General features: G+C 32.2%; 1 long non-coding RNA gene across 2 annotated transcripts in view, besides 1 other annotated feature; it reads left to right on the top strand.

Moving 5' to 3' along the window:
• LOC105370214 (uncharacterized) overlaps nt 1–27,984 on the top strand; it is a 477,307-nt gene that overhangs the window by 43,784 nt on the left and 405,539 nt on the right. The gene's annotated exons all lie outside the window — the stretch shown is intronic.
• Nucleotides 20,831–21,360: an enhancer, noted in NCBI's record as "NANOG hESC enhancer chr13:57244613-57245142 (GRCh37/hg19 assembly coordinates)". NCBI's record gives its function as "activates a minimal SCP1, AML or CMV promoter by ChIP-STARR-seq in primed H9 embryonic stem cells {active_cell/tissue: H9 hESC(primed)}" and the evidence as "EXISTENCE:reporter gene assay evidence [ECO:0000049][PMID:30033119]".

Here is a 27,984-nt window from a genome sequence, read left to right as displayed (position 1 = left end):
GGCATTAATACAAAACCAGCAGTGATTTTAAAATAAAAAATTTTTTTTTTACTTTTAGAAATAATTTTTTTATTATTTTTAGAAATAACCTCTTAAACCTTGAATTACTAGAAAACAATTTCTTTTCTAGAAAAAATTCAAATTATAAGAGCTAGCTCTAAAAAAGAAAGAAAATCTGAAAGTGACTCTAAAATTTTATACTTAGACACATAAAGATCATGCCAAAAACATTTTACAATCAACTGTTACTGAATTTCAAAGGAAGAGACAATTCAAACTTATACCACTATAGACAATTTAGGTAGTCTCTTCAATTACTCTAAAATAATATCTAGGCTGGGAACAGTGGCTCACACCTGCAATCACAGCACTTTGGGAGGCCGAGGTGGGTGGATCACTTGAGGTCAAAAGTTCAAGACCAGCCTGGCCAACATGGCGAAACCCCATCTCTACAAAATTACAAAAATTAGTCTGCTGTGGTGGCGGGTTCCTGTAATCCCAGCTACTTGGGAGGCTGAGGAGGGAGAATTGCTTGAACCAGGGAGGCAGAAGTTGCAGTGAGCCAAGATTGTGCCAGCCTAGGTGACAGAGCAGGATAAATAAATTAAATAAATAAATAAATAAATAAATACTGTCTAATTTATTCAAAAGAGCTTAAAAATCTTACCTTAATGATTCGATTTAAATTATAAATACATACACATCACAAATAAAATATTGAAAACTAACTCCACATACATAGACACACAAATTGCTGTTTAAATACGTGTCTGTGTTGCACTATAGACAATTTCAGTTATGACTTTTTTTAATAAGAGAAATGATGTGATATTTGATTAGGAAATCTATTAACATGTATCTTAATAAGAGCTAAAATAGCTTAATAAGGCTCAAAAATTTTATATGATAAATTACCTTCACAATCTACTAATAGTGATCTTAGACATGACATCCAGAAAAGTCCCTTAGAAGTTATAAATAATATAAAGGTAATCTTTAGATAAAAATACATCTATCAACAAAAATCTGTTAAATCTATTACAAGGGGTAAAAAAAACACTCAAGGCTTGAAAAATCAGAAATGCTATTTACTTATGTAAGTGTTTACATGCAATATATATATATATGTATTTTTGGCAGATCATATCATTGTATAGGTAGAAAAATCCAGAAGATTCAAAGAATGAGTAAATTAGCAAAATCGGTGAGTAAAGGGTCAATATTCAAAGAATTATTTGTATTTTTACATGGCCAACAAGGAAAATTAGAAAATAAAATTTAAATCATGAATGAATTATAAGTGGTATCAAAAAGTATCATAACTAGGGGTATAACTTTAAAAGATATTCAAGATCTCTATGGAGAGAATTATAAAACATTGGGAGATATTATGCATACTCCAGAAATGAAGTGATAGTATATGTCATTTTTATGCAGAGAGGCCAGAGAATGGAGCATTATGTAAGACTGATAGAACAGTCTCCTTTTAGTAGCTCAGGCATACAGAAATACTATGATTAGTCTATGTGTCCATTTTTGGTTGCATATATAATAATCATTTCTATATTTAACCATTTTTATTTGTTCACATTTTTAAATAATTCAACATTAAAAGCATGCAAGATAATTCAATTAAAAGTATTATAAAATTTATAGCAAAATGATATGGCATATTCTTAATTTTTTTCTTTTCAATTTTTGTGTGTACATTGTGGATGTATGTATTTATTGGATACATGAGATGTTTTAATATAGGCATGCAATTCATAACAATCACATCATTGGAGAATGGGGTATCCATCCCTCAAGAATTTATCCTTTGCATTGCAAACAATCTAATTGTACTCTTAGTTATTTTTAAAATGTACAATTAATTGTTGTTGACTGTAGTCCCACTGTTGTGCTATCAAATAATCAGTCTTATTCATTCTTTCTATTTTTTTTGTATGTATTAACCATCTCCACATCCTCCCCACTGCCCCACTACTCTTCCTAGCCTCTTGTAGCCATCCTTCTACTCTCTATGCCCATGAGTTCAATTCCTTGGATTTTTAGATCCCACAAATAAGTGATAGCATGTAATGTTTATATTTATGTACCTGGCATATTTCATGTAACATAATATCGTCCAGTTACATCCATGTTGTGTAAATGACAGGATCTCATTCTATTTAATGGCTGAATAGTGCCTCTATTGTGTAAATGTACCCCATTTTCTTGATTCATTCATCTGTTGATGGACACTTAGGTTGCTTTCAAATCTTGGCTATTGTGTACAGTACTGCAACAAATGTGGGAGTGTAGATATCTCTTCAATGTACTAATTTCCTTTCTTTTGGGTATATATCCAGCAGGAGGATTGCTGGATCCTATGGTAGCTTAACATTATTTGCATAAGCAAACAAAAGAATAAGAAAAAAACTAATGAAATTCTAAACTTTGACTCTGTCCTCCTGCTTTTTAAGATTTTGTTGTTTTTTTATCTTATTGTGCTGTCTATGTCTTGAAAAGTTGCTGTACTTATTATTTTGATTGGTTTATCATTTAGTCTTTGCTCTTACCATAAGAATAGTTTACACACCACAGTTACAGTGTTATAATATTCTGTGATTTTCTGTGTAGTTACTGTTACCAGTGAATTGTGTATCATGAGGTTATTACGTATTTCTCATTAACGTTCTTTTCTCTCAGATTGAAGTATGCCCTTTAGCACTTTAGCCCAAGGTGGTGAAGAGGTTTGCAGGAACTCAATTTCTGACTGCTGGGTTTGGCAATTTTCCTCTGGCTAGCCGTGGTTTAAATGTTCCCTCTGTGTGTGGGCATCAGCTGAGTTTGGTCTGGCGTCCCTTTCTACTCTAATAGAGCAGCACTGAGTTCTGTGTCTCACAATTGCTATGCTCTCCCCACCTCAGCACACAGAAATGCTCTCAGCAGAACACTGAGGTAAAGAGATATGGAGGCTGAGAACTGTCAACATAATTTATCAATATGGTTATCTTAGGTGATCTGGACATACTGTTGGAGTGGTGTTCTGCATAAGCATGATTGAAATTTATTTAATAAATGAGGTGAAGAGAAAGAGATATGTCAAATAACCACTTTAACCATAAAAGAGAATACAAAGATAAGGCTGGAGATGGGAGTAAAAGTGAGTAAAAAGGAATTTTCTACATGTGTAACGTGTGTGTCACTCAGATCATGTAGGACTGTAATCATTGAACAAACGAACCCTTGATAGCAGCTACACCATTAGGATGTCCTGATACAACACCGAGGTCGTAAACCCTATTGTCGATATGGACTCTAGAATAGGATTGTGCTGTTATCCCTAGAGTAACTTATTCCCTTGAACAAGTTATTGGAGATAAGAGCATATTTGATTGATCATGAGAATAAGTTAGTAGAGATTTTAAAATATAAAAGGAGAAAGAGTGAATTGTTTGTGCCATGTACTTAATAAAATAGAACAATATAGAGTCCTGTAAGCACACAGAGGGATTACTTTTAGGTAGGAGTTGGTTAGGTGTAGCTAGCTTGTTTTTGTGGCTAAATGGGCCTGCTATCCAAGTATCTGAGTATGGCTGCCCAGCCACTTGGTCTTAGGCATGTTGGATATATGACCTCTATGCTGTTGAAAGAGCAAGGAAAATCCTTGCTCTTTGCAGCCCCTATTACTTTCAAGGAGACAAAAGGACAAAGCGGTCTATGTATGCTGCTCCGTCTTCCATCCCCAAATTTACAAATTTTCCATGTTCACTTAGACACAGTCAGTAGGGAATAGTAAGGAACAGATGTTACTTCTGGTTATCTTATTATAATAGGAAGAAAGCATCAGGAGTAGTCAGAATTTTCCCCCATTGCTAATGAGCTTTTCAGATAGAAATTTTGGGATAGTAGCAGTTTTTGTATGTCTATGCTCTGTAAACTTTGGTAAAGATTCTTATATATGATAAACTGCTGCATTTTGATTATAGAGGGATTTGTTTTTCCTTGCTGTTATTGTGTGTTATTTTAAACATTTCTAAGTTTCCATAACCAGTAAAACTAGTTAAAAATGTTATGATCTGATTACAGTTTGAATTATTTAATTAAAAATCACAATCATTGCATCGTTTTTTTTTTTTGTCACCAGGAGGAACTGTTAAATCTAAACCATCAATTCAGAAATACTAAATATAAGGGACATAAAGAAAATGCTAGATGCTTCAGTAAAGAAAGTGTCATTGTCCACACATGTGATATTTCACTCTGTCTTCACATTTCATTAAATTCAAAAGAGATGATTATCATAGTTTATAAAACTAATGAATTACTGAGATTACAAAAAGGTTGAGAATTCTCCTTATTTTTAAATAAATTCTATTAGGATTATGAGAAGCTAGCTGTAGATAGATGAAGAGAGAGACTACATGCTGTTTCTGGGTGTGTCAACCATCTAATAAAACATGTTGTAGCAACATATGGCAGTAGCAAACAGAACAAAACACACAGCTTTGTTGAAGATTAGTGACACTGATGACTGCCAAACACAATATTAGTGCGATCACTCAAGCACAGTTAATAGTTAGGAACTAAAGGAATAAGAAATTTAATTTACAACAGTGATGTATAGTACAGAATAAATTTCATAGGATTGAAAAAGAAATAACTTGCAAACAGCTGGGAAACCCACCAGAAAACTGTGAAGCTCATTGGCAATTTTTGAAATTCACATAAGTTTTTACTGCTGAGTTTATTTTGGCATAAAATTTTTATATAATTTTCATGAAGGCATATTTGCTCTATTGCTGAGTTTAAGAGATGTTTATTAAGATAAATAAGGAACCAAAATTATAATGATCTATTATGTACAGTTTTGCTTTTTTTAATATGTTATTTGATGTGGAGAGTAAGTGATGTCTCCAATTCTGTGAAAGTTCATGGCTGATGGTATGTTAGTCATTTTCTAAATTCTACATTAGATTCTTATAAAACAATTTTAAAAGGTGATTAACAAATAGTTGTTAAGAAATTTCAGATTGTTCTATGGCAAAACACAAACTCTAATTTAGAATACATGTTTATTCCTAAGTAGGGACTGGTTACAAATTTTGTTTTGATAATATAGCATGCTATATTTACACTTAGTTTAAGGGAAATGGGAGTACCTTTCAATTACCATATTTACTTTTGGAGTAGGGCCTGGATTATACTAACTCAAAAATGCACATATTTGAATATATATCTACACACACACACATCTTGAAAGTGATAGCAACTTAAATATCAATCACATAACTCCTTGACAGGGATACCCTGTAGCAGTTAATTGACAGAAAAAAAATGCTCTAAAGCATGGTATAAAATTTGTTTGGGTAAGAATTATAGAATGGAGGACTAAAACCAGTGATATTTACCTTCTCTGAAATATTTTACGTGAACAAATTTTTACACAACAAAATGAAAATTATTTTGAAAAAGTGGATCAGTAAATAACTAATTTAGCATTTTTATGAAGAAGATAAAATGTTTTATTTTTATATTTTCTATAGTCTGATATTGAATAATTTTAAATAAACTTTGGAATAAATTTTTCTTTGATCATAGTTCATATTGTCAATCAAGTTATAATCCTGATAGATACATGTATTTCCTAATGTATTTTCCTCACAAATTCAGCTTTGGAGCCTAACTATTCAACTATGGGGTTTATAAAAAAGAAGTCAGGAAAAGAACAAAAGAAAAAGATTACTAGTTTAGAAGTGCCCTAAATTTCGATGTGGAATTTTGGTAAGATGTGCTGAACAACATGACCCAGCCTGAAGTCCTTTAGAGAGCCTATCACTTCTATAAACCAACACCCAAAGCCAACTTCGGTCAGCTACATCAGAAGACATACACTCAAAGGGGCCAAAGTGGCATGTAAAAGAAGATACGGCCATTTCTGTACACTTTCCATTCAGCTAGTGGCCTCACCTACTGTTGCCATGACAAAACATAGTATAGAATCCCATATACAAATTAGTATTCTTTCACCATCATGTATAGAAATAAAAAGATATATATGTATCTATTACAATTTTAAAAGTTATAAATATATAAACATTTATGAGTCTATGAATACCATTAAATACTATTAAATTATTGTCATTAACTTATGCATTTGTGAATATTATATTTATGAATGTATGAATATTGATATATATGTGAGAATCCAGATAGATAAATCAGTTAAGAACCCTATTCCTGTGTGTATACCAATATTTTTATCATTAGTTTTTCTGTCTCCAATATGTTTAAATACCTTGATCTATGTTTATCAAGCATAGATACACTTTTAACTTATCAGCTCTTAAACTCTTACATTATTCTGCATTAAAGTAATCACTAATTATATATATTTCTTTGTGAAATTTCTGTGGCTCTTCTACTTCCTATATACCTGGTGAATTTCTGTTTTGCCTCTAAGATCAAACTTAAACTTTATTTTAGTTGTAAAATTTTCCCTGTTGCCTGAAAAGACCCTTCACAATCTGACCTTGTGTTTCCTTTTCCAGTCTTTCTCAACTCCCACCCCCAACACTGTGTTCTAGCCACACAGAATTATGCTAAATTCCCCAAATCCATCTGGTGTTATCTATTCTTTGAAGTTCGCTATGATCTCTTGAGCAGAGTTAAGCTCTTTTTCTCAGTACCTATGCATGCTTTACTTATTGAATATTTCTTTTGTTAACACTTATAATTGTCTATGTATTTTCCAGTGGAATGTGACTGTGGTTTTTTCCAGCATCTTCCCTAGATTGGGCAGAAGCTGGGGCAGGCATGAGTAACGCTGTGAATCCCTTGTTGATAAGCATTATGTGGTGCATTTTAAAGAAGCCAAAGGTAAATTGATAGAGGCTGGAGTTTTGGCATTGTTAATATTACTAGAATTTCTTGTAATACCTAGAAAATAGTAGGTACTTAATACTTGTCTAATTGAAAAAAAAGAATACAATTGCATGTTTTTGCAATTTTTACTTTGTTTTCTTTTTTTGATCCTCTTTTCCTTTTCTCTATTTGATAAAATGCCTCCTGTAGTTCAAGTATTAAAACAGATATCACTCTTTATATGTAATGTTTGCCTAACCTGCTAAGCAGTTATTTCCTTGTCTTGCTTTCTGCTCCCGTAAAAATGTGCATTATCACAATGATGTCACTAATTATACTCTAATGTAAACTCATAAAGGTTAATAAAACTGCTTTGAATTCAGGCATACTTGGGATCAAGTCACAGTTTTGTCAGTTATGGTAACATTGGGTACAGAGTCATATTGGTACAAATTGGAAATATTAGTAGTTACTATCTTGAAGTGGCTTATTTTTAAACTAAATGAAATGCAGATAATGTGTGGAAGATACTTCACCACACAGGCATCCAATCGATGTTGTCTCATGTGAAGGTTTACATGAATGAATAAGAAAATTCTGGGAAAACAAATGGTCACAGCAATTTTCACAAGCCATCTAAAAGTAAATAAAGTACCATAGATATTTTTCAGCACTCAAAAATGAAATTCCATTTTTAACTTATATTATTTGAAATTTTATTACCAGAACCTCATTATTTTAATTATGATATGCAAATTTTATTTAGGGTTAACTATTACTTTTAAAAATAAGTCATTGTAATTATATACTCTAAAAATAATCAATGTGTGTAACATTTCTGAGGTTTTGCATATTGGGCATACATTTTTGTATGCCACTTTGTCATTGAATATGTTAATATGTTGTCTTATTGAATTACTAGATTTTATATGTTTACTACCCATTTATTACAACTGTTTATCTTTTTTATTATTTAAATGGTATACTATCAGTTACTTTACAAGTCTTTTCGTGATTCATCCTAAAATTATATGGACTAATAAGAGGAAAATTTTATTTTCCTTCTCCTAAAGATACAAATAAACACATCACCAAGTAAAATTATACTTAGCTGGAGGTGCTTGTCAAACAGTGTATATATTATCATTTTCATGTGCAACTGTGTATTTGTGTATAAAGGAAATCACAAGCAAAGTAGATTATTTTCCTGTAGCACAAGTTACAGTTTGGTTCACAGCAGAGAACTGTAAATTTATAGGTTAAAACCTAATTTCTAAGTTAACTTCTTTAAGTATATCATGCTAAGTAGTATGTCATTTACCCAGTGAATCATAAACTCTAAAAACATAAAACAGAGTAATTATAGAGGAGACATGATAAATAGACGATTGGGTTTTAAGAACAAATGTAAGGTTGAGTCCCCAATTCTTTCCCTAATCATTTTCTAGTTGTTTGCTGTAGTTCATAAGTAAACAAATCAATAGATACAGAAGAAAGAAGTATTTCTCATACACTATTTCCTCATTTTCAGGGATAGATGGATTTTATACACTTATATGTAGCAAGTATTTCAAGTTCAAAATAATAGGATTTTTTTTCTCATGACTTTTAGTTTTTCAGTATACGTTTAAAAAGCATTTTTTATTCTTTCATTAATTCATAATTCAATCCTCTCAACCAGGAATGCCTTTTCTCAAAAACTTTGAATATACACTATATGCTATACTCTAGAATAAAACGGTGAAAACTGCTTTTCTTTTAGAAATAAACTGACTGAAATCCAAAAGATACATTTACTTGGCCAATATCACATAACAGCAGGGTCCAATATACATTTATCCTGATCGCTAGTTTACTATGAATTCCATAAGTGATTGCAATATTTTAATTTCTGTTCTATTAATTTGTTTTAATTTTTAGGTATTATTTAGTTACTTAGCTGAGTAGAACTTCAGACTGTTCATTTTGCAGAATAAATTGACCACTCTTGAGCAGCTGTTAAATGGGGGATTGATGGATTATTTTTCAACTATTAAAGTGTTTGAAAACACAAATAAACATCAGCATGCTGAAAAAGGAGGCAGTATACATAACCTAAGACATTCATATAAATGCATTAGGTGGATTTGAAATGACAAATAATTTCAGATATACTTGGTCTTTAGAAAACACTGATTATGACAGATGATGTGCACAATCCTTCTTTTAATTATTTTATTTGCAAGGTCAAAGCTTGTTGATTCATGAGACAGTAAATTTGCCAAATACATTTAGAGAATGAAAAATAGCTTTAGTGCACAGGCACTCATACTCTTTACCAGACATTTTAAAGCTATATAGAATTTAGTGTCTGTTCATAGTAATTAGCAAAACAAAATCCACCTTGTGGTACTTCACAAATAAATGCAGATTAAAAAGTTGTATACAATTATTCCTATGTTTAAAATGTGGCCTGAAATTAGAAGTATTTTTCTTGCATCATTTTTTAAACTTAAAAACAATGAAGACAGTATTATCAAGAAAGGCATGTTTATTATATGTTTATAATTTTGAAAAATATGTTGCAATAATTCTGGCTAAACATAGAAAATACAGTGTTTATACTGAATACAGGACTCCCTATCTCTCCATCTCCTTGCTAAAAATTTCTCAAAATGCTCATACATGAAATTTTGTAAGAGTCATTCAGTGCAATGACTGGGAGATCAGAAAATATGACGATAGCTGACAGAGGTCAAATAATTCTCGAAGCTGGAATGCATGTAAATACGGATAAGTTATTATCATAGCAAAGAAGGTGAGAGTCATACCTATAGTCTTATAAACAATCTTAAACAGTTTTTGGCCTAAAACCCAGAATGTGCTCAGGAATGAAAGGAAAAAGTTGCCTCTAAAAGCAGAGGTTGGGGGGGGGGTGGGGGGGGGGGGAAGAAAAGATTGGTAAAATGGAAAGATTGGTTAAAAACATCCACACAAGAAAAAGAAATCTAGGTAGCTTCTACTACTGCACTGTATAGTCACAGAACTATCTATTTGTGGTAGATGGAATAGTGACCCCTCTCTCTGAAAAGTTAAGTCCACATCCTAATCAGTGAAATTTGTGAATGGCATCTTAAAAAATGTAAATTAAGGATCTTGAGATAAGAAGATCATTCTGTATCACCAGAGTGGGCTTAAAAACCAATGACAAGTATCCTGGTAAGAGAAAGGCAGAGAGAGATTTAATGGAGAAGAAGACACAGACAAAGAAAAAGAAAAGGTGATGGAAAAATGGTGGTAGAAATTAGAGTGATGCAGTCACCATTCAAGGAATGATGAAAGCCACCACAGCTGAAAGAGACTAGGAACAGATTCCCTGTTATAGCCTCTGTAGGGAACAGAACTCTGTAGTCGCCTTGATTTCAGACTTCTGGGATTCTGAACTGTGACAAAATAAATTGCTTTTTAAGTCACAGATGTTGGGTAATTTGTTATAGCAAAGGCAGGAAATGAATACAGCAACCTTCACCCTGATAAAAGGATGGAAGTTTATTCTCTCAGGAAAGATTGATTCAGAGAGAATCTGGGAACCTGAAGCAACTCTGAAGGCAAGAGAATATTCAAAAATAAGGAGATTAAATGAAAAAGTACACACACTGAACAGTGAGGCATTACCTCCCCCACATGCCACATTTCTGGTAATGTGGGAAGAAGCCTCGTGAGCTCTAATACACAAAATGTTCAATTTCTTTCTGAGAAACAGTCTAGCTCAGAAGAAAATGTCAAATGTTAATGGTGATTAATTTTTTAAAATTTAAATAATTGGCCCTAATTTCAAGGAATTGATGGTGAATGCTCACCAATCACAATTTCAACCACCAAACATGAAGTTCTTTTATCATGTCTTTAAAGACATATCTTAAGTGTAGGGGAACCACTGATTTCTAATATGTATTTGGAAAAAAAATTGTAAAATAAAAGAAAGAATAAAGCCAAGGGGAAAAAAACACAAAGCAGTAAAACATCTAAGACATTGTGTAAGAAAAAGAAAAAAAAAATAAAAGACTCAAGTTTATAAACAGGCTATTGCTTTATTGACATAATAATATTGTATATAATGTAAAATTTTTATATAATAAAAAGGATTTTTTGCAAATTAAAAATAAGTTACAAAAAGTAAACAATTTATAGTCATAGAGCCCAGACTTTAAAAAAATTTCACAAAAAAGAATTACTAACTAGAGAAGATAATGAGAATATTAAGCTAAGAAATGTAATAATTAAAGGAGTCACAAAAATTGAGAACAGAGAAAATTTAGGAGATGAAATTATCAAGAACATAATAAAACCTTCTCCATGTTAAGGAACAGTCAGACCGAAGGGGTCTAATGAAAACCCAACACAAATAATTTTCAAAATTCCATATCAAAACATAGCATTGTAAAATTAAGTCTGAAATATGAGAGATAAGATAGAATATTCTAAAAGCATCCAGAGAGAACAAAGAGAGGGAGTGGGAGAGAAAGAGAGAGGAAGGGAGGAAGAAAGAGAGAGAGGCAGATAGAGAGGGAGAAATGAATGGATAAATAATTGAGTAATAAAAATTTTAAATAACTTATAATAATACTACAAAACACCTTATAAAGAACGAAGGAATTTAAAATTCAGAGGGCTGTTGTTTTCTATAGCAGAATTTTATACTAGTCCTATAATGAAACAAGTATGATTGTAAAATAAATAAATTTTTTGATAGGTGCATACAATCAACACTCTGACAATTGTTTAAGTAAACAGGTGAGATTGGCTGGAAAAAAAGTTTCATCCATATCATCCACAGTATTTAACTAATATTTAATTCCAGTTTTGAAAACAACATATTTATATTATCAAACATAGATATTTCCATTTTAGATCTTGACACTCTGAAAATTGCTGAAAGATACCCTACAAAATGATAGTAAACAAGAAATAGGAAGCTATGGAATCAGGATCTACAGCTTTTAGCACTAGAGATAGGGAGAGAGACTCCCAAGAGGATGCTGAAGGGTAGTCCTTCCAGGTATTGTTCACAGCAGGCCTGGAGAGCACACAGCTCCGACTGGAGTAAAACTTCAAAATCATCATCAGGATATACAGCTTTAGGATAAAGAATGTGCCAATCATTTAGTAATAAATAGTAAAATTAAGCATAGACAAGTGTTAGCAAAAAACCTAGTAAATGAGAGAAAATAGAGAACTGTGCATGTCTCAGCTGTGAATAATATCTAAAAAGTCATAAAAGAGGCAAACTCTGAAATCTGGTTGAAATAAAAATTGTGTTATAAGTAAACAGGTAAGATTGGGCTGCAAAATAATTTAATCCATGTCATCCACAGTGTCAAGATCTAAAATGGAAATATCTATATTTGGTAATACAAATACATTGTTTTCAAATTTGGTATTAAATACTAGTTACCATGAGAAACTGCTAAAGAGAGAGAATAGCTGATTACAGGAAGAATACCTTTAACTTAGATATTTAGATCAGAATTTTAAATCAAAATCTTTTTTGGATAACATGCTGACCATTAAGCTAATGGAACAAAGATGTCAGTGACCAAGAGACCATAAATGACAAAGAATACAGTCTTTACAAAACTAGGTTAGAAAAGTATGTAAACAAACAGCTAAAACTCACAAAGCAGTGATAATCAACTCTAGGGAGGTGCATAATCTGACTTCCAGAATTACAATATTATAATACTGTAATTATAATTTTGTAATTTTGGTAAAAATGTCCAATTTTTACCAAAAGAAAATGTGAACCATAAAGAGAAACAAGAATGTATGGACCACTCACAAGGGAAATAGTCAAAGCATTCTTTTAAAGATATTTTCTAACACTGAACATTTTAATTTCTCATTATCAGTTACCACTCTTGCTCAAACATAACAAATAAATAAAAAGATTATGAAGGAAAGATGAAATAATACACTGACAGAAAGCTCTCAATATCCCCATTTTATTCCTCTCCACACTGTTTTTTGAGATACTTTTCTGTCTTCTCACAAACGTTAAGAATTGAGAATTACTGAACCATTCTGTTTCAGGAAGGAGGGGGAATGTATGGAGTGTGGGAAAATGTAGGAATTTAAGACTATACAACAATAGCCACCTCTGGAACATAATAGAAAATGGACTACTTTTCACAGATACGCTGCTTGTATGTGGGTGCTTCTAAACAATTTTCTAGGGAAGGTTTTGAAGTATTAAAGAAGAAAATGATTTGCTATCTGCTTCTCTTCCCTTTTTCTGTTACTGAAGTTGTGCACATGTACCCTAAAACATAAAATATAATAAAAAATAAAATAAAATAAAATACAAAATAAAAAAAAGAAAGGAAGAACAAGGAATTCTAAAAGAAATGTCCAAGCTCTAAGAAAGAGGAAAATAGAAATAAAATGAATGTGAACACTGTTCTTATTCATTTTAAGCTTAATTGTTCAATTAAGCTAACTAAAATTTACACAATTTTTAATAATAAAATATAGGTCTATTCTTCCTAGTAGATTAAGTACATTGGACAGTTTATCTGTATTTTCTCAAAATGTGATCACATTCAGTGTAAAATCAAGAAACTTCACAATGAAAACAAATATACAGATACAGATTTATATCCTGATTAACACAAATTTATGAATTGCAAAGTAAGCCTATGGCTGTGATGGCTCATGCCTATAATCCCAACCGTTTGGGAGGCCAAGGCAAGAGGATCATTTGAAAACACGAATTTGAGACCAGCTGAACAGCATAGAGAGACATTGTCTCCTTTTTTTTTTGTTTGTTTTTTAAGCAAGCTTATCTAGAATCAACATGCTACTAATCAAAATATTTTAACATACTTGTGAGATTTTCAGTCAGTCTTTAATTGTGTAGTAACGCATGTCTTCATTAGCAATAGAATGAATTAGGAAGTGACCAAAAGTATGTACTGACATTCTACTATATACCAGATACAATATTAGTTTCAGCTATTTTGTAATATTAGACAAACAAATATAAAATGTTTTCCATCCATAATGTGAAATTTTATTATAGCTGTATTTTAGGCTAATCAAAGACATTTCACTTGTGGGCACAATGGTCTGTATTCAAACCACAATTGTTCCAGGATTTACTCTTTGTATTGTTAGTGGAAAATTCAGTGTAATTGAAATATTTTCTCATTGTGATTTGATTACCTACGTAATATATTCATTTTTATAACTTCAAATTGTTTAAAAATGTTCAACATCTGAAATAATAAAATCTAAGTAAAAATCTAGTATGATTTTAAGTGCAGAAAAAATATGGTAATTGCATGGTCAAGCTAGATTTTAATGATAGAAAATACATGTTTTGCTACTGATGTCATCTAAAATAACAGAGTAAGAAACTCCACATCTTTCCTTCCACCAAAGCAAAAATTAGGCTGGCAAAATTTCTCAGACTAAACTTCTTAGATCTGTGTAATAGAACCAAAATCTTACAACAACCAGGGAAATGCTTAATAAGGAAAGAAACTGCCAAATTTTCAATAAAAGAGTAGGCAACATGGATCTTTTGCTTAAGGAATAGTGGTTGTGTATTTCGATTTCCCTGGTGGTTTCCTGGGACTTTGCTTACCTTTGTTTTATCTACTTAAAAACATTCTCAAGGCATATGTTGAAAGCATTTAAAGGAAAATATAAGAGCTGCAGGTATTGAGCAAGGGATAATAAATGGAACAAAAAAGTCCTGAAAACAGAGATTGAAGACAAAAATAGATAAGAGAGCTTTCACTTATACAGAGGAGTACAGAAGGCAACATGCATTCCTGGGGCTGAATGCAAGCGCATTAATGACCAAAGAAGATGCTATTCTTTCACCTCTTGCTCACTTTTAGGCTCCATGAAAGCAGAATTTGACAGCTAAGGCAGGGTTGTAAAGGGGCCAACTAGCACTGAAAACACATGCTCAACACAAAAGTAATTTCAAAGAGTAGGAGTTTATTTTTTATTTTTAGTCTCTAGGTGTTCTAGGAAATCTGTTTTGAGTAACATGCTGACCATTAAGCTAACGGAACAGAGATATCTGTCAGTGACCAAGTGACCACACATGACAGAGAATACAGTCTTTACGAAACCAGTTTAGAAAAGTGTTTAAACAAACAGCTAAAACTGACGATGATAATCAGCTCTAGGGCGGGGCAGAATCTGACTTCCAGAATTAAAATATTATAATATTCAATATATCCAATTTTTTACAAAAAGAAAATATGAACTATAAAGAGAAACAAGAATGTATAGACCACTCATAAGGGAATAAAGAAAAGGAATTACTAGAAAATGTATGGGAGGAACCCCAGACATTAAACTATCTAGACAAATATTTTATATCAGGTATCTTTACTATTCTTAAAGAGTTAAAGAAAATCAATGAAATCAACTAAAAAAAAACAACAACAACAAAAAAGGGGGAACAATCTCACCAAATATAGAATCCCAACAGAAAGAGAACTTATAAAAATAAATCCAAATAGAAATCCTAGAATAAAACATTTTATAACTGAAGTGAAAAATTTACTAGAATTTAACAGCAAATTTGAGTATACAGAAGAAATAAGTAAACTTAAAAATACATTAATTAAGACTATTATATGAGAAGCAGAAATAAATAGAATAAAGAAAATTTATAGGGCCTAAGAGGCCTGTGGGACACCATCAAGCACACCAAAATACACACAATGTGAATCCCAGAAGGAGAGATAAGAAAGGGCCAGAAAGAAAAAACATAAATAGTAGATGAATACTTTCTAAATATGGTGAAAGACATCAGCCTATAGATCCAAGTAGGTCAATGAACTCCATGTGGAAAAGCTCAAAGAGAGTCATACTGACATGTATTATAATTATGTTGTTAAAGCCAAAGAAAAAATGAGAATCTTGAAAGTAACAAGAAAGAAGCAACTTATAACTTATGAGATTAACACACAATTTCTCATGAGCAACCCTGAAAGCAGAGGGTAGCAGGATGACTTATTCAGGGTGATGAATAAAAGCAAATATCAACCAAAATTTTTTAACCAGCAAAACTGCTCTTAAAAAAATTAAAGAGAAATTGAAAACATTCTCAGTAAAACAAAAGCAGAGAAAGTTTGTCAATAGTAGATCTGCCCTTCAATAAATACTCAAGGGAACTTTTCAGGATAAATTGAAAGTACATTAGGCAATAACTGAGGCCAAATAGAAATAAAGCACATTGGTAAATGTGACTACATAGGTAAATATAAAAACCATCATTATTTTATTTTTGGCTTTCACCTCCTCTTTTTTTCTTATGTTATTCAGAAGACAATTGTCTGAAACAATAATTATAAATCTATACAAGTGGATATATGATATGAAAAAATAATGTTTTAAATTTTGCTAATAAAATTATTTGTAATTTCTTCTTCCTTGTTATATAATACCTATATATAGTCATTTGTTTTATCTCTTGGCCTATGAAGCCTATTTACTCTGTATTCCTTTACAAAAAGCACTTGTTGGCCCTGTTGTAAACATCATAATACATTAAGAAAAATGTCTATAGAATAAAAGTCCTATTGTATTGCCAATATAATTTTTAAATGACCGATAAATACAGCACCGGTACATAGCCCTTCTAAAATTCCAATCAGCTTCTCTTCCTAGACACAAGTCATTGTTTCTTTATCTTGAACATGAGATATACGAGTTGTTTTATAAAAGTTACTCATTTTATGAATTTATATACATATATATAAACTTCTTTTATCATGTGAACATAGTCATAAAGTTATACTGCACTACTAGGAGTATAATGAGAAAGAGCCACCCCTGCTGCATAGTTTCCTCCTCTTAATTAACATAGCTCAGAGGCATCCTTCCCAACTCAGTAGGTATTTATTTTGGAATGTAACTCCATAGTTATAATAGCATTCTTACAATATTATATCATAATGGAACAATTTTAGACTACTTCAGAGATAGTGGTACATACGTTGTGGTGATTTGGCACTTGACAGCATTGTCTATTTCCTGAAGTGAGTATTTCTTTCCTGTTTTGTCTAACCATCTCCAAATACTTCCATATCCTTTACTATTGATAGAATTGCTCCTAAAGGAAGATTCCCAGAAGATAAAGAGGAAAAGCCAGTGGTAATCATCATTCTCTCTAAAGACTTTTCAAACCCCCTTTTATTTTTTTTTCTTCCAGTGAAGGGCTTCATGCTTGCCCTTGCTGTCCCTAAGAGCCTGGAGACTAGGTTATTCTTAGTATGTATCCTGTGAAGAATGATCTATCACTTGTACAGGAGACCCTTGAATTTATTCTGCTTAATGCTTTGGGAGAAGATGTCTAGAATAAATATGTAGTAGTTGTACAAACTTTCAGAAAATCCTCTTACCAGTTTCATTACTTTACACGTATCTATAAAGATATATCTATAAATAGATGTGTATATATAAATAGAAACCCCGTGTCTGCTAAAAATACAAAAATTAAATGGGTGTGGTGGCACTGGCCTGTAGTCTAAGCTACTTAGGAGGCTGAAGTGGGAGGATCACCTCAGCCCAGGAGGTCAAGCCTGCAGTGAGCTGAGATCAAACCACTGCACTCGAGCCTGGGGGACAGAGCTAGACCCTGTCTTAAAAAGAAATACAGTTTAACTACTTTATACGTATCTGTAGATAGTGCGGTGGTTCAGCCTCCTGAGTATCTGAGACTACAGGCCAGTGCCACCACGCCCATCTAATTTTCATATTTTTAGCAGACACGGGGTTTCGCCACCTTGCCCAGGCTGATCTGGAACTCCTGACCTCAGATAATCTGCCCACCTTGGCCTCACAAAGTGCTGCGATTACAGGTGTGAGCCACCATGCCCTGCCTCTATATTTTAATATAAGTGGTGATGACAATATTTTAGACTGTTTAAAAGTCTCTAGGCCGGGCGCGGTGGCTCACGCCTGTAATCCCAGCACTTTGGGAGGCCGAGGCGGGCGGATCACGAGGTCAGGAGATCGAGACCATCCCGGCTAAAATGGTGAAACCCCGTCTCTACTAAAAATACAAAAAATTAGCCGGGCGTAGTGGCGGGCGCCTGTAGTCCCAGCTACTTGGGAGGCTGAGGCAGGAGAATGGCGTGAACCCGGGAGGCGGAGCTTGCAGTGAGCCGAGATCCCGCCACTGCACTCCAGCCTGGGCGACAGAGCGAGACTCCGTCTCAAAAAAAAAAAAAAAAAAAAAAAAGTCTCTTAAAAAAACTTGCTTTTTTTTTTCTTTTTTCAGAATCACTTGTACCTGTGTTATTAAAACAATAAAAAGTCTCCATCTGTTTTTAGAAGATTTCCAATTACTTTCTCTCTTATCAGTAGTAGTTACCTCCACTTCACTTTATTCTTGAATGTTTCCATTATTTAAAATTTATCTATTACAATGTTACTTCTGAAGGAAATACTGGCAAGTGAATGCATCCTGTTTCTCATGTATAACTAGAAATTTACAATATATTTCAGAAACTCTACAATCTGATATTTTCTGACACTACAAAAATCTTCTGGGTTTTCCCTTCCGTTTTCATCAGATTACTTGGCAACACAGCACAACTACATTTGAATTGAGTTTCATTTCTTAACGTGTTGCTAATCACAAGTTCAATGATTTTTTAATTATAAATAACAACAAAATATGTCTTGCTGAAAACCAGTAATGCCTTATGGAGAACAACACCTGCTTTTGATAGCTTCAGGTAATAATTTATTTTACAGTTTATTTTCTATTTAAAATAAACAGTGTTCTATAAGAATGAATAAAAGAAAGACTTATGAGTCCCCTAGTTGGCAATCCCTCCCAGTTTGACTTATACAGAGAAGCTGTTATTTGTTTGTTTCCCTCAATGCTTTTTAGCAGGATCCATGACAGAGCATGAAAATGACAGCAAACAGTTTAACAACTATTCTGATTCTTTAAAATGGCTGATCTGAATAGAATAAAAATTGTCAGATGCTTCAAATGCAATATAAAAATTGGACTGGTATTAAATTTATCCAAGCTTATTGAAATGATTTTTTTTGGTTGAGCTGAAATTAGTTTTTATTTATGTGATAAAACAACTTAGCACTTGAGAAAAATATAGGATTTTATATTGCAATAAACAAAAAGACTAAATATTGCACCTTACATTACTATAAAATAAATCACCACTATCTCTGGTTTATATAGAGAACTTTGCAGCAGAGTTAGAGATATTGTCCAGCATTATATTGAAAGAAACAATAATTTTCAACTGCATTGAAATTTTTGTGAGTGTGCATACACATAGGAATAATTTGAGAGCATCAGCATCTCAACATTGAGGATTGCATTGGTACAATTGGAGATTATATATTTTACACAATATTCTTTTAGAAATTTTTACTTAACAATTTACCTATTCTTATCCTTAATTCTACTCCAAGGAGCTGAAGGCAAACATGTCTCTTTGTTCTCTTGTTTCTTTTTAATCTTGTAGAGTTAGTTATTTTAGATTGGGACATTCAAGTAATAATGGAAGAACAGATATTTTCTATTAGCAAGCCAATAAATGTTATTTAATGTTGTTATAATAGTAACAGCTATTTCATGTAACTTAACACTTTTATTTAGCAAGCTCCCTAAGGCTATTTCAGAGGGATTTGATTCTATTCAGATGGAAAATAGTTCTACTGTAAACAAAACCAAATGTTGTTAAAAATTTATATAAATATAACAAAAATCATGGATGTAATAGAAAATAAATATACTTAATAGCTCTGAACATTAAACTCCCTTCTTATCATTGACTCTTTTGGGTAAAATGGTGATATAATAATAATTTACTTATGTTTTCAAAGTTATTATATGTGTATTATTTTAATACATTCATCAAAATAATCCAGTTAGGTGTATAAGAGGGATTTGATAACGAAAAATTTTATTTAAGGTATTCTAAAGAAAATTAACAACAGACTATTTGGTAACTTTTTTTTTCTTTTTTGTGAAAATTATCCAATATCAAGTTATGAAATGTGGAAGTCAGCCTGAGATTAAGAAAGAAAACTAATAAAGGGCAGTCAGATTACTTCATTTATTGAGCAACTAAAATACAAACAAACTTTAAAAATTGCAATTGAGATACACAAGTAAAGACTGACCCCCTTGCTGAATTCTTGGTCAGAATGAAACAGAGCATATAAAAAGAAGCATATAATAAACATATGTATGGAAACCATAAATTAAATACATATACATGTCAAATATTTTAGCTGATAGAAAGTGGATAGGAATAATACACTGTGAGAATAGTGATATTTGAGATTATTATGGTACAAATTCAAAGAAGATATTTATATTTAGAATAATTTTGTGAAGAAATAGGTAAGTGGGAAAATAATAGGAAGGAATACCCATAGAAGAGGATAATAGTCTGCACGTTCTCACTCATATGTGGGAGCCGAGGAAATGGATCTCATGAAAATAGAAAGCAGATTGATAAAGGGGAGGGAGGGATGACATGTTGATTAGTGGGTACAAATATATGGTTTGATAGGAAAAATAAAACCTAGTGCTTGATAGATCAGAAGGGTGACTATAGTTTACAATACTGTATTGTTATATTCCAAAATGGTTAGTTTATGCTAGTTATGTTTCCAGCATAAAAGACAAATATTTCAGATGATGTATATCCCAAGTATACTGATTTGATTTTTACAAACTATATACATGTATTAACTTATCATATGCATTCCAAAACTATGTACATCTATTATGCACAATAAAAGTTTTTAAAAAAAATTAAAAAAGAAAAAAATGAGAGAGCAATAGTCAATAAAAGGTAAACTTAGTAGTCTGGATTGCTCAGACTCAGCCCATTCCAAATATAGATCTATTTTAAAAAATGAAAAAGTACCTGGCCAATTGCTGGGAGATAACCCTTGTTCCCTTGAAATAGTCTTCCCAATGAGTCTTTTTATATGCCTGAGGCCTTGGGTCACACTTTACTTATGGCAAATGCCTGCTTTTATATGCCTGAAGCCTTGGCCCATGTTGTACCAGTTTGACCAGATAAGTTTATTCCACAAATGCGATGTATTTTATACAGGTCATGTTGGTCTGTGGTCAGGTGCTGAAGTCTGAGCATCTGAGGTCAGTCATGTGCCTGACTGACTCAACAAAAACACTGGCCATCAAGAATCTGGTGAGCTTTCCTAGTTAGCAACACTTAGCATGTATTGTTATACATCGTTGCTGAGAGAATTAAGTGCATTCCTGTTTGACTTCACAAGTGTGGACATCTAGATGATTTCTCCTGGACTTTAGTCCATGCATTTTTCCCCTCTGCTGGTTTTAATCTGTATCCTCTCAATGAAATAAGCCATAACTGAGTGTAACAGCTTTCCTAGCCTTGTGGGTCCTTATTAGCAAATCCTTGAGCCTAATAGTGGTCTTGGGGATGACTGACACAGTAGCTTTAAAAGTACAGAGTATAAATTGATAGTTTCAAGATTCTAATGTTCTCTAAGTTGTGAATACAATACATTAAAAATATTAAACCTTTAAAAATTATTTTAGAGGTGAATCTTTATAATAGTATTCATATTAAGCATAGTTTCTTTATGTAAATTATTTCATGTTCCAATCTAAAAACACTATTTGAATTAAAGGAATCAATCAAAATCCATGGCTATAATTATGTAGCTATTTGAAATAAGGCTATCTTACATATATTAATAAATAAAATAACTACAACTGATAATTTTTGAGTGCTTATTATGTTTCAGACGATTTTCTGGGTACTTTATATGTACTATTTTATTCAGTTTTCATAAGCCCCTTTAGCATAGTTTACTAGTATTATTCCCATTTTATAAGAACTGAGAGTAAAAGATATTAAGAAACTTGCCCAAAGTCACGAAACAACTAGTTGATGGTGATAAAACTAGAATCTTAAGAATTTTGGATTTACAATCCTTATATTATGCATTTCTGTATGTCAGACATGATACTGAGTACTTTAGATACATAATTTATTTACCCTCAAAATCACATAAGAAAGTTTTCACATTTTACAAACAAAGAAGGAGGCTCAAAAGGATTCAGCAATTTATTCAAGGTCACTGGACTAGCAAGGTACAAAACTATAAATCAAAAGTATTGGCCTGTATTGATGTTATTCATTGATACAGTTGATTAGGGCTACTTGAAAGGAGAGAGAGGCAAGATAAAAAAGATTATTTCAATAGTGTTAGGTCAACAAAATCTAAAACAGTAATAAGATGAGTAAGAAAAAGTGCAGTTAATTTAATTAAAAGAAACAATATAAATCAATTTGTAAAAAATAAAAAAATAGAAGTGTAAAAATCAATCCTGCTTTAAAACAAAACCAAAGAAAACAAAGGAATATATAGACTCAAGATAAGACTTTAAAGAAGTGCCTGTAGCAAATAGTAAAAACTATCCTTCTTATGTGAACTAAAAATGATATGTTGTATAAAATGTAAAATATATTATATCAGACACGTTTTAAGACTCTTTATATTAATTATTTCATGGACTTATTTCCCTGAACAAGAAATAATTTTTAAAAAAAGTTGTCAGCAACTGAGATAATAGTTTTTTTTGTTGTTAGCTTATTTGTTTTAACTTGCATGAATTTACTCTGGAGTTGAGTGTAACATTCCCAATTCAGCAAAATAAGCTTGTAATTGTTCATTTTCTAATTTTTTGATGGACTTTAGACTTTGAATAACTAAACTATAAACTCAAAAAGACATTAAGATTTAATAGGGATAGAATAATCATTAGAATAAATTTAAGACCATACTTTTGATAGTTTTTAATCTAAAAATCTTTCTTCATTGCTATCCTTTCTCTCTTTTTGGTACACTGTAGCTCCCAGTGTGAAGTTAAGTCTTAAGCAGCACACTTCTATTTCGAGGCAGAGATTGATTCTGAGATGTTTCTCCTACACTGCTTAACAATTAAGAAATGTTCAAGGGTTATAAGCTTTCTTTCACTTATGGTTTCATTTACTATGTTGCAATAATTTGTTCTATCTGAAAAATATGGCTGTTTATTTTATTCCTTACCAAGCCTTATCATATTCCATCCCCTTGTCTGAGAAAATTTAGCTGTATAGCAAGATATTATTCAAACTTCATGTATTCCTCTCTTGTTCTGACTCCAAAGAAAATAATACTTTTAGTGTTTTTTTTTGTAATCCCATGGCATGAATAATAAGAATTTTTTAAAAAAAAAACATATACACCTACTCTATATAAATTACTCACAGAAGTTGACATTTTAAATGATACATTAACAAATAATGCATTAAATATTCAGCACATATTGATGGGCTATTATTTGCCCGTTTCTAGTGTTAACTGAACAAGATATAATTCTCATTCTCAAATAGCTTGTCCAATATGGTAATCAGGTAATTGAGATTGTGAAATTTATACCCCTATGAAAGAACAAAAGAGAGAGCCCTAAAATAACTCTGAAAATCAGGGGAAATTTCTTTCATAAAATGATTTGGCAAATATTTAAAGAAAGGAAATTGCCTGGGCAAGAACTAAATGGATTTGTTTGTAAAGGGGGTGCCTATTATTATTCTAGTGTTACTTTAAACAATACCCAATATTTAATTAAAGATTTTCAGCCTAAATATTATGTAACCTCATTTTTATTTATGTAATCTGGCAGGTTCACAATTGAAGTAAAGAATTGCTGTCATAATTGTAAGGAATTGGGAAAAATGCAACTGCTTTCTGTTATCTTTAATCAGCTTCTAGAATGGTGTTATTATACTAGTGATCATGTTCATTCTGTTCATTTGTAATTCAAATTTAATGAGAACTACCCAATACCAATACTTTTGAGAAGCACTAAATATAGAGGGGAATTTCTAAAGCCAATTAGAATTAATACATAAATAAGATTCTACATCAATTATCTATGAATGCATACCAAATAATCACAGAAGTTTGCAGTTTAAAATAACACAATTATTTAAAATTTATCTTGTTTCTGTGGGTTTGAATTTTACAAGCAGCTTGACTGATTGGGTTCTCTCAGGGTCTCAAATGAGGATTCTGTCAAACAATTAGCAAAACCTGGAATCATCTTGAGGGCTTTTTTACTTGGAAGTCTGATGTCTGAGCTGGGAAGACTCAATAAGATGGAAGATGGGACTGCTTACTGCTTGAAAACCTTCCTCAGCATTCCTCTCTACCTCTAAGTGGGTCCTCTACATAGTCTGTTTTCAGGGTAGCAGCGTCAAATAACCTAGAATCCTTATATGAAGGCTTAGGGCTTTCAAAGAAGACAATCTAAGAAATCTACACAAAAACAATCTTTTCTTCTGACCTAGCATGTAAAGTCAAATAATGTCACTTTGCCATATTTCATCTGATATAAGGAAATCATGAAAGAAAGTTCATACTTAAGGAAAAGGAGTTTATACTCCGTTTACACTCCATCTCTTTTTTTTTTTTTTTTGAGACGGAGTCTTGCTCTGTCACCTAGTCTGGAGGGCAGGGGCTTCATCTTGGCTGACTGCAACCTCTGCCTCCTGGGTTCAAGGGATTCTCCTGCCTCAGCCTCCCATGTAGCTAGGATTACAGATACCCACAACCACGCCCAGCTAATTTTTATATTTTTAGTAGAGACGGAGTTTCACCATGTAGGTAAGGCTGGTCTCAAACTCCTGACTTCAGGTGATCCACCCACCTCGGCCTCCCAAAGTGCCGAGATTACTCCAGCTCTTAAAAAAAAAAAAAAGAATGCACCTTTAGTAAGGAAGGTTATAAAACATAGTCAGAAAGGTAAGGCATGTTGAAGATTGTCTGTGAAAGTCATGAAAAATGTTTTATAAAAAGGAATTTATGCAGGAAATGTATGATTTTTGTTTTGAAGGTCTAAACATGTTCTAAAATGTTAAAAAAAAAAAAACAACTGAAGAGTTCATGAATATCCAGGTATATTTTAAATCAAGCACAGAGTTCTAGTTACTATCTAGGATGTGGAAAGATGGAAAGACTAGAGACTATCACTCCCATCTTTACAAACAAAGCAATAAAAGTTGAGTGAAACAAAAAGCCACAGTTTTGTTGAATCTGAGAAAAAACAGGGAAAACTAACTCTTCTGAAACCTACAGAAACACTGGGGCCTAAGCGGAGGGGGAGAGAGAGAGAGAGAGAGTTGGAGACCTAGGATAAAAGCAGTCAGATACCAGTAAGAAGAATTCACCAGAAGTTGTTAATGAATAGATCAAAGCCAAATATGGCTTACATCCAAAAAAAAAAAAATTTGCAAGATCCCTGAGAAAACATCCATCATAGTATAGAGAAGAACAACAGCTGTTGTAAGAAAGACGTGGAACCTATCAGATTGGTCTCCCTTATCTCCTCTATGGGGGAAAAGAGCCTTAAACTAAAGAGAGAACAACAAATATTGTTATCCTTAGGGCACAAGGAAAAATCCATTGTAGCTGTGTAGAAGGAATACAATATAAGGTGTAATCCTAGGGAAAGGAAGGGCATCAAGTATATGTGTTAAACTCATATCTACATTTGGGTAGGGAGCGAATATTGACATTGAGAAAGCAAGACTCCTGAGATCTGCCGACCAAATGCCTGCCTAAAACTAAAACTAAAGTTTTACAATCCCCATCCTCTATCCTTTTCCCACCCTCAGCTAACAAGCTGTTCTCAATTTATAGGGGAATGCTGCTGAGAGAACATCCCTCTGTGAGGCACAGTGCAAATGGGAGACACAAAATTAAGGATAGACTAGTTATTGAGAAAAATCTTTTGTCAAACAAGCTTCCACCATAAAAACATTGTCTTTTGAAGGAATTTAAAGCTTATGGTGCCCTGAGATTAATCATAGCAACGACAACAACAAAGCTCAAACTCACCTCAACTCCTGACTGCATTGACCAAAACATTGCTATTAATGGCCCAAGGCAAAATGAGTTGGTGATTTCCAAACATCCAAACATATTTATACAAAACTGTGTAAATATAAAATATTGCCCTACACAATATTTCTGAAATTCAGCCAAAAATTGTGAAGAGGTAAGAGATAACTCACTACCATGAAACAAATCAATCAATAGAAATAGACTCAAATATGATATATGTGCTGGAATTACCAGAGAGAAAATTTAAAATATTGAAAAACATGTTAAAGACTAATGGAAAAGGTTGACATGCAAGATTGCATGGGTAATGTGAGCAAGAGATGGAAGTCAAAAGAAATGCAAAATATGAAAATAACAGATGAAGTAAGCTGATTACTGAAAGCAACATAGCTGAGGAAGGAATCAGGGAACTTGAAAATAAGTAAATGGAAATTACCTGAACTAAAACACAAATAGAAAAATAGTAAAAATATTTGAAAGCTATGAGATAATATACAAAATACTTAATACTTTTATTACTGTAATCACAGAGAAAAAAGAATGGGAACAAATATTCCAAAATTAATAACAAACAGCAAAGTACAAGTGAGACACCTATAAAATAGCCAGGGTGAGGTAGGCTGGAATGAGGTGTGGATATTGCATACATAAAAACAAAGGATAGAATAACAGAGATTTCTCATAAACCAGGCAAGGTTGAAGCAAACAGAGTGATATATGTCAAGTGCTGGGGGAAAAAAAAAAAAAAAAAAAAAAAAAAAAAAAAAAAAAAAACTGTCAACTCAGGATTTTAGGAAAAAAAATGACAAATGAAGAACAAATAAAGAGTATGTCAGACAAAATATAACAAAACAAAAAAACCAACAGAAAGAAACTGCAACAAATGAGAGATTCACTTCCAGCAGACCAGCACTACAAGAAGTTAAAAGATAAAGGAATAAATGTGCCATCAGAGAGAATTTTAGATCTTCACAAACAAATGAAGAGCACAGAAAACAGGAAAAAATGAGAAAAAGGTAAAAAGTAAAACTAAAATTTTATTTATATTTCAGTTGCTCTAGAAAAATACTCATTCTTTAAATAAAACATAGTAGTGATATACTACATATTTGAGCATAGGTTTAACTTACAATTTATAACAGGAATACCACAAAGTACAAGGTAGGGGAAATGGGAATTGATAGATGTTAGATCCTTAAACTACATATGAAGTAGCATAAATTTATTTGAAAATAAATTGCTATTTATTACAAGGTATATCACAAATTATAGGGAACTACTAAATATTTAATATGCAATGTTAATAATCCAATAAGAGAAAAAATCAAATTAAAACATTGTCAATGTAAAAGCAGAGAGTACAGTAGAGAATAAAGAATCAAAGAACAGAATAATGAATAGAAAACAACTAACAAGGTGGTAAATATTACCAGTAAGGTTCATGTTTACATTACATGAAAGCAATCTGGAGGCACAAATAAAATGAAGAAATTGTCAAGTTTGGATAGCAGAAGCAAGACCTAATTATATGTTGCCTAAAAGGAGCCCTCTTAAATATAAGAGCATGAGTTAAATGTCCAAGAATGGTGAAAGTTATACCATGGAAGCACTAATCAGAAGAAGTCTGGAAGAGCTATATTGATACCAAAGTAGATTTTATAGCATAAATATGAAAGGGATAAAGGAATACATTAATAAATAAAGGTAATAATTCTATAAGATATAACAGTCTTAAATATGTATGCACCTAAAAGAGAGCTTCAGAATTTATAAAGCAAATTCTGACTTCACCTGAAGGATGTAGAGACCTGGAAAGAGCATTGTTCAAACAATTAAAACAGCAGAAGAAACTACAGATTTCTGACATTTCTTGAATGCATCGAATAACTGAAGTCACAGGGCAAACAACTAACATCCTATCTTGAGAAAGACCATCTCATGCACGGAAAAACAAAATTTCAGGATTTGCTTATCTTGTGCAAATACTGGCAAAAGGTATATACACTAGTGAAAAAGTCAGAAATTTTTAACATACTGCTAAAAACTAAATATAGGCTAGTGTGATTGTTTGAAGAATCTGGTAGTCATCGACAGAGGGAGGTTTGCACTCTCTTGCAGGCTTTTCCTCCAAGAAACTTACCAGGTAGTCACAAGAAACATAGCAGAGGATCCTAAAAACTTCTTCCTGATGGT

The sequence above is a fragment of the Homo sapiens genome, chromosome 13, assembly GCF_000001405.40.
Source record: "Homo sapiens chromosome 13, GRCh38.p14 Primary Assembly".
NCBI classification, from domain to species: domain Eukaryota; kingdom Metazoa; phylum Chordata; class Mammalia; order Primates; family Hominidae; genus Homo; species Homo sapiens.
Note: the sequence above shows the minus strand (reverse complement) of the source record. Positions and strands in the feature narration are given on the sequence as shown.